General features: G+C 39.7%; 1 protein-coding gene across 2 annotated transcripts in view, besides 1 other annotated feature; it reads right to left on the reverse strand.

The window, feature by feature from the left end:
* RERE (arginine-glutamic acid dipeptide repeats) overlaps nt 1-15,643 on the reverse strand; it is a 465,237-nt gene that overhangs the window by 351,795 nt on the left and 97,799 nt on the right. The gene's annotated exons all lie outside the window — the stretch shown is intronic.
* Nucleotides 6,125-6,625: an enhancer, noted in NCBI's record as "H3K4me1 hESC enhancer chr1:8770382-8770882 (GRCh37/hg19 assembly coordinates)". NCBI's record gives its function as "activates a minimal SCP1, AML or CMV promoter by ChIP-STARR-seq in naive H9 embryonic stem cells {active_cell/tissue: H9 hESC(naive)}" and the evidence as "EXISTENCE:reporter gene assay evidence [ECO:0000049][PMID:30033119]".

Below are 15,643 nucleotides of genomic sequence, written 5' to 3' on the forward strand. Positions count from 1 at the left end.
GTAAAAAATATATATATCAACTTGCTAAATTTTATTAAAATTAAAGTACATTTAAAGCATGTATTCTCTAGTGGTGATAGCCAAGATCATTTTGTCCTCCCAAAGACATTGTATAGGAATTTTTTAAATGTATTCCTATAAAATACAAATTCTAACTATTAAGTTCACTCAGTGTCAACCCAAATTAGAAAGGTACAAGCTGAAAATTTAAATGATTACTTCTGGTATCTTCACTATTACACCTTTCCCCTTCCAGGCAAGTTTCATGGAACTCTCAAATAGCTTCATAAATGTTAATTAGACTTTCCAAGGCCCTATAAAGTGGCTGCATTATCAGGTACTCTCTTTCCAATAAACAGAGAAATTTAGACAGATTAAAGTGATTTGCCTATAGTCTCTCAACAAGATGGGGGTGGGGCCAGGCTGAATAGAACCCAGGGGTCCTGCTTTGTTGCCACAGACAGCCAAACAGACATGCACATGCATGTTTGCTATTTAAAGATAACTCTGCTGGTCTCTCTTTAAAGACAAATCAAGTTATTCTACAGGACATAGAAATATCTGTCTCAAACTCCTAACACAGCACATGTACTGAGAGCAAGAGCTGATGAGGCATAATGTCTTTGCCCCCCTGAAAGGTGGCTGTGATCAATACAAATCAGAGATGGTCTGTAGTGCAAATCTAGCTCTGCTATAAGCTCCACTAAACACCATTCCTCAGTGAAACCATCCTGAGGGGGACCTGTGACTTGAAAATCTGCTTCATATCCAAGTGGCTATGAGATTACTCCATATATGTCAGAGATGAAATTGATCCTAAAGCCTTGCTACAAAGCTACTCCTGTACTTGGACACACTTCCAATTTTCTAACCAGCTATATCCAGACACATGGCACAGGCTGAAAAGAATTTCTTTTTTCTTTTCTACAGACCATTTTAAAAGTGCCAGTTTATAGTGAGTTGGAAAAGGCTGGTGAGAAGAAGCAAACCGCTCTATTCTGAATTCATACTGTACCTAGTCTCTCAGGGATTCTAAATGCTTTGACAGCATTTTATGCCACTCAAATTCTTTTGTGCTCATCTTGCACCTGCTGCTAATCCAACCTGCACCCAGCCCCCCACTTTGCAGTTACACCAGTTTTTCCACTTCCCCCAGGTATAGGGATTTCTACCACAGGCCAGCAGGCTTCTTCCCACCAGAGCAGGAATAATCTCCTTGCAGCCCCAAACAGCCACTCACAGACCGTTTAAAGCCTCCTTCAGATCTCAGGTCAAACATCACTTTTTCAGAGAAGCTTCCCCTGAGATCCCATTCTAGGTCAAGTTCCTTTGTTATAAGTTCTCATAGAACTGTGTTCCTCCTTCACAGCATTGATCTCCGTTTGTAAGTCATGGGTGTGATTTTTTTTAACACTCATAGCCCCTTCTAAACAGTTCCATAGAGTTCTATAGAGAAGGTTCTATATGTTTGCTCATCATGTAGATTTATGTCAGGTACACAAATCTGTTGAATGAATAAATGAACTGAGGTCAACAACACTGCTTTACTCACTCCATATATTCTCTGCACATTTCTTGGCACAAAGAAGCCTATCTCAAATAAGTAACATCTATGCAAATAAGAATATCTTCTATTGGCCGGATGCGGTGGCTCACGCCTATAATCCCAGCACTTTGGGAGGCCGAGGTGGGCAGATCATGAGGTCAGGAGATCGAGACCATCCTGGCTAACATGGTGAAACCCTGTCTTTACTAAAAATACAAAAAATTAGCCGGGCGTGGTGGCGGCCACCTGTAGTCCCAGCTACTAGGGAGGCTAAGGCAGGAGAATGGTGTGAACCCAGGAGGTGGAGCTTGCCGTGAGCTGATATTGCCATGCACTCCAGGCTGGGTGACAGAGCAAGACTCCGTCTCCAAAAAAAAAAAAAAAAAAAAAAAAAGAATGTCTTCTATTAACCTTTAAAAGCCTAGTAAGCCAAGAGTGGTGGTTCACGCCTGTAGTCCCAGCCGCTCAGGAGGCTGAGACAGGAGGATCCTTTGAGCCTAGGAGTTTGAGTCCAGCAACATAACAAGACTCAGTCTCTAAAAAAAAATTTAGAAAAATAAAAAGTCTAGTAAAAAGGAGGATTTTTATCCCCATTTTATGAAGATATAAAATAATTGTGCCTGGGGTTACTCAAAAACACAGAGATCCTAACTAGTGTCCTATTTCCAAGCTACACTTTTTAAGAGTTAATGAAGTATAGAAGCCATCGCTAGTTTATTCAAGCCAAGTTCTTCCTATTACCCAGCCCTTAAGGGATATGCAAACAGCCACAGGTAAACTGGACAGAGGACTAAATCTTGTATACACACAGAGCAATATAAACAGAATATAAAACTTAGAAAGTACTTTGTACACTAGTTTGTCTTCAAAGCTTCTCAGAATGCAAAAGCACTACCAAATTCTGCTGTGAATGAGGGGAGTTCATTCTTACCTCCCTTTTACACTGAACTTACTTTATTTTCAGGTTTTTTTCTCTAAGTAACAGACCTGACATGGAAGCCTTCGAAAGAGCTCTTTCCACCTAGGAACTCAATGGTGGGTGTACTCCTCAAAGTGAAACATTTGTTTTAACCCTCATTAGTATGAGTTTGTAAATTACTTTGTGAAGAGGAAAAATCAAAGTTATTACAACAAAAACTATAATTTTTCAGGTGTTTTGCACATGACCACATGAAAAAGTAATAGGAAGAATAATTATGTAAGATAAATGAAAAATATTAGATATACCACATCCCTCCCAAATTAATACTCATTATGACTGTCAGCATTCCACAAGGGATTCCTTGGTTCCCATGTTATCTCCCTGGCCTGGTCTGCACCATTGCTTCTTTTTGTCCTAAGCTCCATTCCACACAAATTCCAGCTCTCCGTTTCCATAACACCCGTCATTTATCAAAACAACCCTGTCAAGTTGAGTACCATTAACAGATAATGAGAGGAGACAACAGATGTGGCTGGAAGCAAAGCACTCTATATTCTACAGGCCTCAGCATGCAGCCAAGTGAGCTGACATCTGACTTTATCCTAACAGTTATAATTAAATCGAAAGTCTAGTTAAACTAACATTAAAGCTATGACCAGAAACATCACACAGGGGAAATGTGAAGGGGAACCTTAGCAATAGCTGAACAGGACCCACATTATTCCAGACCCTTAACCTGGAGCAACCACCCTGCATGGACTCTCTCCACCACTCCGCTCTGTCACAGCAAAGGAAGAATCATAACCATATCTTCTGAAGATGGCAACTTTGGGCCACTTTCCAAGACCACCGAGGCAGCAAGGAAACTGCATTTTTACATGAAAGTTTAAACAGTAGCACTCATTTAATAACACTAATAAGTGTCAAAATTCTAACTATCAAGTTACCTGAGACAATCAACATTCTTTCCTATAGCATTATCCAGTACAACCATTCAGACCAAGTAATTTAGCTCACCCATGTCAAAATGTCAAAAGTACACCCCAACGTCATCCAGCAAACAGTGACTGAATCCAGGATTGTATTAGTACCAGTTAGCTATGTCCGCATAGGATGCTAGGGTGGAGAGGATTTGATTTGTAACACAGTACTCCACTTTTATCCACAGTTTCGCTTTCCAAGGCTTCAGTTACCCTGAGTCAACTACAGTTCAAAAATAGGTGACTAAGGTACAGTAAGATACTTTGAGAGGCCACATTCATATAATTTTCATTACAATGTATTGTTATAATTGTTCTTATTATTGATAATTTAATTTCCCTTATAAATCAAATTTTATCATAGGTAGGTATGTGTAGGAAAATAGTAAAAACAGGGTTCAGTATTATCCAGTTTCAGGAACCCACGGGGGCCTTGGAACACATTCCCAAGGGTAAGAGGAAACTACTGTCCTATACAGAATACGGAGGGATATGGTTTGGCTCTTTGTCCGCATCCAAATCTCATCTTGTAGCTCCCATAATTCCCACATGTTGTGGGAAGGACCCGGTTGGAGATAACTGAATCATGGGGGCAGGTCTTTCCCATGCTGTTTTCGTCATAGTGGATAAGTCTCACAACATCTGATGGTTGCTTTTTTGTTTTTGTTTTTGTTTTTGTTTTGAGGCGGAGTCTCACTCTGACCCCCAGGCTGGAGTGCAGTGGCATGATCTCAGCTCACCGCAACCTCTGCTCACCACAACCTCCACCTCCCAGGTTCAAGCAATGCTCCTGTCTCAGCCTCCCAAGTAGCTGGGGACTACAGGTGTGTGCCACCACACCCAGTTAATTTTCTATTTTTAGTAGAGATAGGGTTTCACCATGTTGGCCAGCTGGTCTGGAACTCCTGACCTCACTGAATCCACCCACCTCAGTCTCCGAAAGTGCTGGAATTACAGGCATGAACCACTGAACCCGGCCAATCTGACGGTTTTAAAAATGGGAGTCTCCCTGCACAACCTCTCCATCTCTTTGCCTGCTGTCATCCATAGAAGATGTGACTTGCTCTTCTTTGCCTTCCGCCTCCCCAGCCACGTGGAACTGTGAGTCCACTAAACCTCTTTTCTTCCCAGTCTCTGGTATGTCTTTATCAGCAGCATGAAAATATACTAATACATGGAGTTACAATTTTAAGCAAACTATCTACTTCTTTTGCTTTTCCAACTCACCAAAATGTCACTAGACAACAAAAACTCTGGAGTTTTTTTTTTTTTTTTTTTTTTTTTGAGACAGAGTCTCACTCTGTCGCCCAGGTTGGAGTGCAGTGGTGCAATCTCGGCTCACTGCAAGCTCCATCTCCTGGGTTCACGCCATTCTTCTGCCTCAGCCTCCCGAGTAGCTGGAACTACAGGTGCCCGCCACCACACCCAGCTAATTTATTTTTTTTGTATTTTTTTAGTAGAGACGGCGTTTCACCGTGTTAGCCAGGATGGTCTCGATCTCCTGACCTCATGATCTGCCCGCCTTGGCTTCCCAAAGTGCTGGGATTACAGGCGTGAGCCACCGTGCCCGGCAACTCTAGAGTTTTTAAAAGAAAAAAGAAAAATATAAAATTCTTGAAGCTCTTTTAGATTTTTTAATTTTTTTTTTTCTTATATTGAGACAGGGTCTCAGTATGTTGCCCACGTTGGTCATGAACTCCTGAGCTCAAGCAATCCACCCACCTCGGCCTCCCAAAGTGCTAAGATTACGGGTGAGCCACGGCACCCAGCTCCCTTGTAGATTTTTTTTAGAGTATATGGTCCTACGGAAAATCCAAGCAATTCCACTTAACAGGCTGAAGGTTTACCAGGCTCTTCTCTAGAACATAGGTACAAAAGCATGCACATATACATAAAAACATATGTATTCATTTGTCTGAGGGTTCACTTGTTGATTTTTTGTCACAAAGATGAAATCCCACTATTTATGTTATACAGCAAGTCACTTCTCTCACTTTACAGAAGACCATTAACATCCCATTCTTGTTTATTACTGCAAAGAACTGAACAGTGTGGGAGTCCCATAATTATTATATAACAAGCCCCTTATTGAGTCTTTTTCACATTTTTTACTCTTATAAACAGTGCTACAACAAACTTCTTTGTGCATACATGTATTTCTACACTGAAGGAATCCCTAGTTCAATGAATATACACTCTTTCAGAGAGAGTCAAACAGCCATCCAAAAGCTGTACAACTTATACTCTTACCAGCAGTGGGTCCTGGTCCTGTTCCCATACTCTTATTCTGGTTTTTGTTGGTTTGGTTTTGGATTAGGCACTCTCTTGGATCTCCTACCTTTCTGGCGATTCTCTCTTTCTTTCCATGACTCCTCCTAAATACAAGTAGTCCCTGTCAAGCCTCCTTTTATCACATTCGGCCATCTCACATCAGTGAAAAGATCCACTCTCAAGCTGTTTCTGTGTTTGTGATTCCAAAATTTGATTTTTCCAGCTGAGCTTGCTTCTTAGCAAGAGGCCCACATATGCAAATGCCCTATGGGTTCCACCATAATGGCATTCCACAGACACTCTCAATCCCAAACCAAATCAAAATGTTCTTCCCCCTAAGTCCTGGGGGGACTGTTGCAATCTACGTAATATACTCTTGAATATACTGTTGCAGTCTACGTAATATACTCTTGAAAAATAACTAGAAATAACATCAGATTATAAAAAGAAAACAAAAAGCCCAAGACAGACTGGCCTTTAGTAAAACTCTGAATAGCACACTTTAAAGTGAAATAACATAGGTACAACATTAAGGTTGGGCATTAGTTACAACCTTCCTTCATGTTTTACTTTCCAACATAGTCCCAAACATAGATATTTGTTTGTTTGTTTGTTTTTTGAGACGGAGTCTCGCTGTGTCACCCAGGCTGATGTGCAGTAGCATGATCTCGGCTCATTGCAAGCTCCGCCTCCCAGGTTGATGCCATTCTCCTGCCTCAGCCTCCCTAGTAGCTGGGACTACAGGTGCCCACCACGCCCGGCTAATTTTTTGTATTTTTAGTAGAGACGGGGTTTCACCGTGTTAGCCAGGACGGTCTCAATCTCCTGACCTCTTGATCCGCCTGCCTCAGCCTCCCAAAGTGCTGGGATTACAGGCGTGAGCCACCGTGCCTGGCCATAGTCCCAAACATATTTAAGAGTGATAGGCCAGGCGGAGTAGCTTACACCTGTAAACTACTGGGATTACAGTAGCAAAGTGCTGTAATCCCAGCACTTTGGGAGGCCAAGGCGGGTGGATCACTTAAGGCCAGGAGTTCAAAACCAGCCTGACCAACATGGCAACACCCCATCTCCATTAAAATTACAAAAATTAGCTGGGCATGGTGGCGCATGCCTATAATCCCAGCTACTCGGGAGGCTGAGGCAGGAGAATCACTTGAACCTGGGAGGCGGAGGCTGCTGTGAGCCCAGATCGAGCCACTGCACTCCAGCCTGGGTGACAGAGTGTGACTCTGTCTCCAAAAAAAAAAAAAAAAAAAAAAAAAAAAAAGGGAGTGATAAACTGCTAATAAGTATTTAAAGTATTATATCATGAAATACATTATCAGCATTATAAAAATATACTCCAGAAAACAAAAAATACAACTTTCCACTAGGCTCCCGGGGGCATCACAGCAAACTGTTATGACATTAGTCATCAATCGAAGGTCAGGCCTGGAGGTTTTAGTTTTTGGAAGTGTGCAGCCGTCTCATGGATGTAGCCCTAAACCAACTTCAGACAGAGAGCAAGACCTCTTAGATAGCACATGCTTTAAATATGTTTAAGGACATTTTCATTTTTATTTCAAAACTCACTAGAGATCTCAGACTGTGCAGATCAAATTATTAAATTCCAATAGAGCGATACGTTGAAAAGCCAAAGCAGGGTTAAGAAGAGAAATTTCTCGTTTGGAAAAGGGTTTTACAGATTTAAAAACAAACAGTTTTGTGGAAGAAAGAGCTCAGGGATGCAGGGCCTCAATGGGATGTTTAAAATGAGGCCCCTCGTGTATTTTGAACTGATGATATATGATAAAATCAGTGTGGAGATCCAGCCAAATGTACTGGAAGTAATCTTAAGGATAACTCAAAACCACAACTGAAATCAATATCCTAAGAATTCAAAATATTAACCAGACAGATAATTGTATGACTTATTAAAATAATGTACACAAATTCAAAATATAATTTTGCCCTTTATTATTATTAGGACATGTTTTCTCTAGTATTATGCCGCCAATAAATGAAAATACTTTAAAATAAAATTACACACGTGTATTTCAGAAAAAAATACATACATTTAAATGTTTCAAAAAATTAAATGAGTACCATTTGCCAGTCTCAGCATCAGAGGTAGCATTACAGATCCAGGAACTGCCTGCCTAAAAGCCAATAACTGCTCTCTAGAAAATGCCAGAAGACTCCAGTTAAAAATATACACTCAAACATTATATAATACATTGGCTAAAACAAAAATCAAAAGCCACAGATTCGAGAATGTTTGATCTGCACAACACAGGGTGGTTTCTTGTGTTTTCTTCTGAAGGGATTAGAAGTGAGTGAGACTGTCATAAAGACAAATGCTGAACATACATTCTGGAGTTTAATTTTAACTAAAAGAGCAAATACTTGGGCTGCAGGAAACAACAACTGAGTGAGTACAAAGGAAGGCATGGGCTAACTTCTAACGTTTACATCATCTGATTAATTCCAACAATAAAATCTAAACACTGATCATCCCCTCCAATCTTCAGAGCAAGCTGACTCTACAGTGAAGAATACGAGAGCCCTATCAGCTGACTCTGGTATGTTTAAACGATTATAATGTAAAGCATGTTCATTCTCTTAAGTGAAAGGAAATGACTGCCAAATGCTTCCTTCACAATCTCTCCAGAATAGGGCAGGTCCTTTAATGTGAGATTTTCCTGACATTCCAATTGTAGCAGACATTGAACAAACAGAGACGCATTAAAAGCCGACCTGGTTCTATTATCTTTTATTGAAGGCCTAGCAAAGATCAGACATGAGCCCTGTGCTATTTACATTTTTTGGTGCATTAATCACTTTTATACTCAAGGGCTTTAGAAAAATTCAATGGATTTTTTTTTTTAATGAAAAACAAAATAAAAAAAAAACACAGGATGTAACCACAGCTATATTGGTCTTTTTCTCAGGAAGGTCAGAAAAGCTTTAAAAACAGGAAGTCTGTGCTATAAGGTTGAGAAATGTTTGTTTTAACAGCCTAAGGCGTCATGGTTGCAGTTTGCAGTCAGCTGCTATGGAGGACTATAGTTTATTCTTCCCAGCCAAGGATTAATGTCCCTAGGGAAAAGGCCAAAAAGGTACTCATATAACTAGAAAAGCACATTATCCTAAAATAAGACTTGTTATAAAATCTGAATCATAAATCTTACAAGATACCTTTCAACATTAAATAGGAACTAATTTAGTAACTGGAGGAGGAACAGTTTGTCTTTTGTGGTAATTTATAAAGGCTAAGGAAAAACCATAGTAACCAATGCTAAGACAACCTCCTAGAAACAATTAGCAGTGGGTTAAGAATTGGTGCTTGCCATTTGATACAAGTTTTCTATTGATTACCTCTATTTTAATCATTATACTAATATTAATTATTAAAATCAAATGTAAAAATGACACTCTTGCTTGAATGCAAATTCTTGCAAAAAAGGCAGATTAACTTTAAAAATGTTTTATCCCTAACAAAATGGTTGGTCTCTGCTTTTAAGAAAAAAATTTTTTTTAATTAAAAACTTTGGCCAGGCACAGTGGCTCACATCTATAATCCTAGCACTTTGGGAGGCTGAGGTGGGCGGATCACCTGAGGTCAGGAGTTCAAGACCAGCCTCGCCAACACGGTGAAACCCCATCTCTACTAAAAATACAAAAATTAGCTGGGCGTGATGGCAGGCACCTGTAGTCCCAGCTACTTGGGAGGCTGAGGCAGAAGAACCACTTGAACCCGGGAGGCAGAGCCTGTAGGGAGCCGAGATTGTACCACTGCACTCCAGCCTGGGCAACAAGAGCAAAACTCCATCTCAAAAATAATGATGATGATAATAATAATAATAGTAATTGCAAACTTCAACTACAGTGCTAAACAGTCTTAACATACCTAACATTAAAGGTATTTTATTTCAAAAATTACAATTTTCTGATTCCATTCTTTATACTTAGCTTACACAGGCAATCAAAATGAGGCTTTTTCATGGTGGACTCCATTTTAAATGGAATTAAACGTTATATTATGAAAACTTTAAGCCAAAAATATCCAAATATTAATATTAAAATACACATAGCACATGAATTTAAAATTCATTTGGCTTTTAAAGGGTAGTGATTGGAAAAATCCTATCATGATAAAGTGCTTTAAAATACAAACATAAATGGCTAATACCACAAAGTTTGCCATTCACCCCAAGAAGTAATTTTCTATTTGATAGTTATAGCTATCTTTAAATTTTTAAATATTTATTTCTACAATATCTCTAGAGAGGATTGAACTACTGCCATTTAACAGATGGGAGTAAAATGAAATTCTCTCAACTTTATCTTTTCCCTTATGGTTCAGAAGACATCACTCTAATAACTTTATCTTTCCAAGGGGCATCATTCAAGTAACAACTCATCCTAAAAGGCCCATACTGGCTTTCAGTTGAGTGTATTCTGTATTATGCTCTGGCGTCTTTCCTGAAAATTGGAAGACAATAGAGTAACGCCTTCAAATTTTTGAGGAAAATAGTCTCCAACCTACAGTTCTATACCCGGCCAAACTGTGAGATAATCAAGGATGAGCATAAAATAAAGACATTTTCAGACACACACAGCCTCAAAACATTTACTTCCCATGTACCCTTCTCAGGAAAATACTTCACAAACAACAGAGGGAACCCCAACCAAGAAGCCATGAAAAATGATCTGAGAGTCATATGAAAGGGAAGTCTTCTTCCAACAACTCAGTGGCAGATCTAGACACCAAAATGAGGCAATGGGTTCCAGGAGGATAGCACCAAGGCTGATCTATAGATTAATATTTTCCATTACACTGATTTTCCAATAGTTCTGTTGGAAAATTTAAGGGTGATTTAGAGACGGGGCATACAAAACAAAACAAAGAATCAAAAGAGAGACAATTATTAATTCCAGGAAAGAAGTTGTACAAGAAATGTAATTCAATCATACCACAATTTTTTTTTTTAAGACGGAGTCTCACTCTGTCGCCAAGCCGGAATGCAGTGGAGCGATCCTGGCTCACTGCAACCTCCGCCTCCTGGGTTCAAGTGATTCTCCTGCCTCAGCCTCCCGAATAGCTGGGACTACAGGCGTGCGCTACCACGCCTGGCTAATTTTTGTATTTTTAGTAGGGATGGGGTTTCACCATGTTCGCCAGGATGCTCTCAATCTCTTGACCTTATGATCTGCCCGTCCTGGCCTCCCAAAGTGCCGGGATTACAGTCGTGAGCCACCACGCCCAGCCCACAATATTTGTTTTAAGCTATAACAATATATACATGCCTATAATAATATAAACATTCGGCTGGGTGCGGTGGCTCACACCTGTAATCCCAGCACTTTGGGAGGCCGAGGCGGGCAGATCACCTGAGGTCAGGAGTTCGAGACCAGCCTGACCAACATGGTGAAACCCCGTCTCTACTAAAAACACAAAATTAGCCAGGCGTGGTGGCAGGCGCCTGTAATCCGTGCTACTGGGGAGGCTGAGGCAGGAGAATCGCTTGAACCCAGGAGGCGGAGGTTTTGGTAAGCCGAGATTGCACCATTGCATTCCAGCCTGGGCAACAAGAGCGAAACTCCGTCTTAATAATAATAATAATATAAACATTCAATACTGATTTAACCACAAATGGTGATATTACCACAATGAGAAGGAAGAGGAAGAGGAGAAAGTAGAAGATATATAAAAGGTGACGGGCTGGCAAGGAGGCTCACATCTGTAATCCTAGCACTTTGGGAGGCCACAGCAGGCAGATTGCTTGAGCTCAAGAGTTCAGGACCAGTCTGGAAAACATGACAAAACCTTGTCTCTACAAAAAATACAAAAATTAGCCAGGTGTAGTGGTGCGTGCCTATAATCCCAGCTACTCAGGAGACTAAGGCAGGAGGATTGTTGAGCCCAGAAAGTAGAAGTTGCAGTGAGCCATGATCATGCCACTGGATTCCAGCCTGGATGACAGAGCAAGACCCTGTCTGGGGCGGGACGGGCGGGGAAGAGATTTAAATGGCTAAATTTAAATTACTCATTGGGTAAACTCAGCAAGTGATGTCTAAAATAGAAAATAAAAACAGGTCAGGCACAGTGGCTCACACCTGTGGTCTCAGCTACTTGGGAGACTGAGGCGGGAGGATCCCTTCAGCCATGGAGGGCGAAGCTGCAGTGAACAGTGATCAAGCCACTGCACTCCTTCCTGGGCAACAAAGTAAGGCCCCATCTCGAGGGAAAAAAAAAAGACAAAAAGAAAAGATAAAGAAGCCAGGCATGGTGGCTCATGCCTATAATTCTAACACTTTGAGAGGCCAAGGTGGCAGGATCACTTGAGCTCAGGAGTTCAAGTCCGGCCTAGGCAACACTGCAAGATCTCATCTCTACAAAAAAAAAAAAAAAAAAATTAAAAAATTAGCCAAGTGTTAGGGCACACACCTGTGGTCCCAGCTATTTGAGAGCCTGAAGGATCACTTGAGCCTGGGAGGTCAAGGCTGCAGTGACCCAAGACTGCACCACTGCACTCCAGCCTGGGCAACAGAGCAAGACTCTGTCTCAAAAAATAAAAATAAAACATAAAACATAAGCATGTCCTTTAGCAATATTGAGATAAGTGACAAAATAAATGGTTTTAAAAGTTCAAACAGTTTGCCTCTGAGAAGTGAAACTCAAGGATGGGAGGAACTACTAAAATAAACAAACAAAAAAAAATAAACAGTACACCACCACTTGATTAAGTACGTGCACATATATTACCTAGAAAAAAAAATCATATGAAATTAAAAATTAACACAAATGTTCCCAGAAGATCTTTGCTACCTTTTTTTAAAAAAAATTCACTAACCCATGTGCTTTGATCACCTGGTGAAGAAAGTAATAAAATTTCAGAATGGAAAAAAAGAAAAGGAATAAAAAAAAACCTAGCCAAAGAAGCAATCAATCTTTTTAAGACGTAGGCATCGGACTGAAATTTATTTTTCTTCAGAGGGCAGGCTGTACTACATTTTGCAACCTGCTAGTAAGACTCCTGAAATTTGGCCCCTCGATAATAATAATCTTATACCAAAAAGAAAGGAAAAAGACACAATCACAATTTTAAAAAATAAATGATATAACAACTCAATCACTATAATTTTAGTATGTATAAATGAGAAATACATCACTAACTAAAGTAACAGCTTTTAAAAGAAGCAGTAGGTGAAAGTACAAATAGATCATCCAGCTTCAAAAAACTTAATGAATTTTTAAAATCATTTTTAGCATTTTACCCATTTGTTTATTCACAATTATGTTCCATAGTCAGCTAATGGTTTTTGAAAAAGAGAGTAAGAATAAGATGGATAAGGGAAAGGAAAATCAAGCATGTTCTAAATTGCAAGTTAATCATTAGGTCAACAGTGGTAGTTTTCAGTATTTCTCAAACACAATAACGCCTTGTCATCGATTGAGAATACTGAATTTTAATGCCATTGTTTTGTCAATAAAAAGTGCTTATGTACACTTCACGAGTTCATTAATAATCCTCTAAGAAGACCTAAATTAAAGCTTGGCAAGCAGTTTCTCATGAAACAAAATTTGCTTTAGTTCTGGTTTGTTAGAACTAAATGCACCAAGTGGCAAATTAAGATGTAGAAACATACCTTAAAGGTTATGCTTTGAAAGTATTCAATGACTCAAACAGAGGCATCATTAGGCAGTAGCAAAATAAATACTAAGATTCCTATTTCATTTGCAATCTGTTAAGTTTCAGACAGATAATTTTACAATGACCACCAATAGCTATCAGGATAAACTTCGAAAGGAGATAGACATACATTCCCTAAATTTCATCAGAGGACTGGAAGGTAACCAGGATAGATCCCATTTTCAGCATTAAAAGTGATCAAAAGAGTCCAATAATTCACATAGAAGATGCCATTGTGCTGTCTATACTGTGTGTATTTAATGTCCATGGGAATGCTGACATGTGCACTCCAAGTGGTGATTGAAGAGTCAACTAAGTAGGGGGAAAGGGCTTGGAGCAAAAATTTCAACTAAAAATAATCCAGTTACAGGAGAATAGTACCAGGCAAGCTGGAAAAACTATAATCAAAGTCTGTATTTCCAGTTTCAATAGTAAACACAGTTGTTAAGAGTGGTTAACACACAAGACCATAAGTGCATGCAATTTCAAGTCAGAAACATCTGTTTTACCAATAGTATCCCTGTTATGTCCTCCATTTCTTTACTAAAGCAGAATGTGAGAGTAAGAACAAGAGCAAGCACAATGTATGAAAGAAAGTAAGCAGTCAATTTACCTTAGAAAACATTAGGACTTTCATATAAGTTCCTAAAATCATAAATTCTAAAGCCGTTAGATTTCTAGAACTTGACAAGATTTCTTTAAAAAACAGGGTCAGATAAGAATTTTGCCTTTCCTCCTATTAGTTTTTAGTCCCCACCAGCTGAAGCAGGGTGCCCGTTTCTACACCAAAGAGCGGCAAAATGAAGAAAATCAAGCAAATTACACAGCAAAGGCAGAAATGCCTTCTATTTCATGAGAAAAGAGAAATGGTGCAAGCCAATGGATCACCAACCTCAATGCACTGAACAGCTGAATTTTTTTGTTTAGTTCTGAGAATAAAGCTGTGGTTTAATTTCATCAATAGTGAAGTTTAGTCCTACCTATTTTGCTGGGTGATTTTAAATGGTAGGTGACTCTCTTCATCTGGTACTCTAAGAGCAGGCAGCAACATTTCATCCTTAGTTCTGACTGAGCTTCCCAGTCTTCAGCAAATTTAGCCTAGTGGTAAAGGTCTCTAGCTCTGGAGTCAGATGGCCAGGGTTCTCCTAATCTAAGATTTTCTAACTGCATAACCTTGGGAAAGTCTCCATATGCCCATCTATACAATGTGGTTAATAACAGTACCCACTGCACAAGGTTATCATGGAGATGAAATGAAATAATTCAAGCAAGGCCTTGGATGGAGTGCACAGCACACAGGAAATGCTCAGTGAATGCCAGACACCATTAACCGTGTCATCTTGGACTCTGTCATCGACTTATTGTAAAAACCTGATTAAAACAATTAAAGGAGGGCCTAAATCACCCCAACAGTGAGGGTGGTAATTCATTATTTGTCTGTGAAGTACATCACCCCACTAAAAAAAAGAAACAGGCAGGGGGCAGCAAAATCAGCATTTTGCTTTTCATCCTTGTTACTATCACTGCTACATTATTTATGTGAACTGGGAAGGAGTGTGTCCGGACAGATGCTCAGCTGGGTTCTGCAAGCAGAGCATCCATCACAAAAGGTAGTGCCTGTCTCAGGAGCAAGCCCCTTTCCTGCCTCCTCTCTCCCCTTCATCAGTCACCACTAGGGAGAGCACAGTGGAGCCACACAGCAGCTGGGCAATGTCAAAACATTATTGTCCAAGCACTCTGTTCAATGATTTTGATGAAATAAAGTAATCCACCCCTAAATGACTCATTTTGTCCCAAATTAGCATCCTTAAGGTAATTATTAAATATCCAAAAGGATCCAGGGTGTATTAGAAACAAAGGAGGGGGTGAGGAACATTGATATACTACCAACAGGCACCCTACTATAAATTTACTAAAACAGGAATCATGAAATGATTGAAATGACACCAAATTATACAACATAAACATAGAGGAACAAATGACAGAGATTTGCCCTCTGCTTAATTCAGCTTACATAGATGTCTATCAAAGACAAGTTTCTACAGAGTCACAAGCACACTGTATTCAAATAATCTTCATTTCCATTTTCTCTGGACAAGCGAAAGTAAGCCTACCACAACAGTTAATGGGTTAAAAACTGTCACATTTTCAAAACATTTACATTATTTAAATGCTTATGTGTCTACCACCACCCCCAGAGAATTAATCACCTCCTTATTACTGTCACCTCTCTACCCTCCATATA

Source organism: Homo sapiens, chromosome 1 (genome assembly GCF_000001405.40).
Source record: "Homo sapiens chromosome 1, GRCh38.p14 Primary Assembly".
Lineage (NCBI taxonomy): Eukaryota > Metazoa > Chordata > Mammalia > Primates > Hominidae > Homo > Homo sapiens.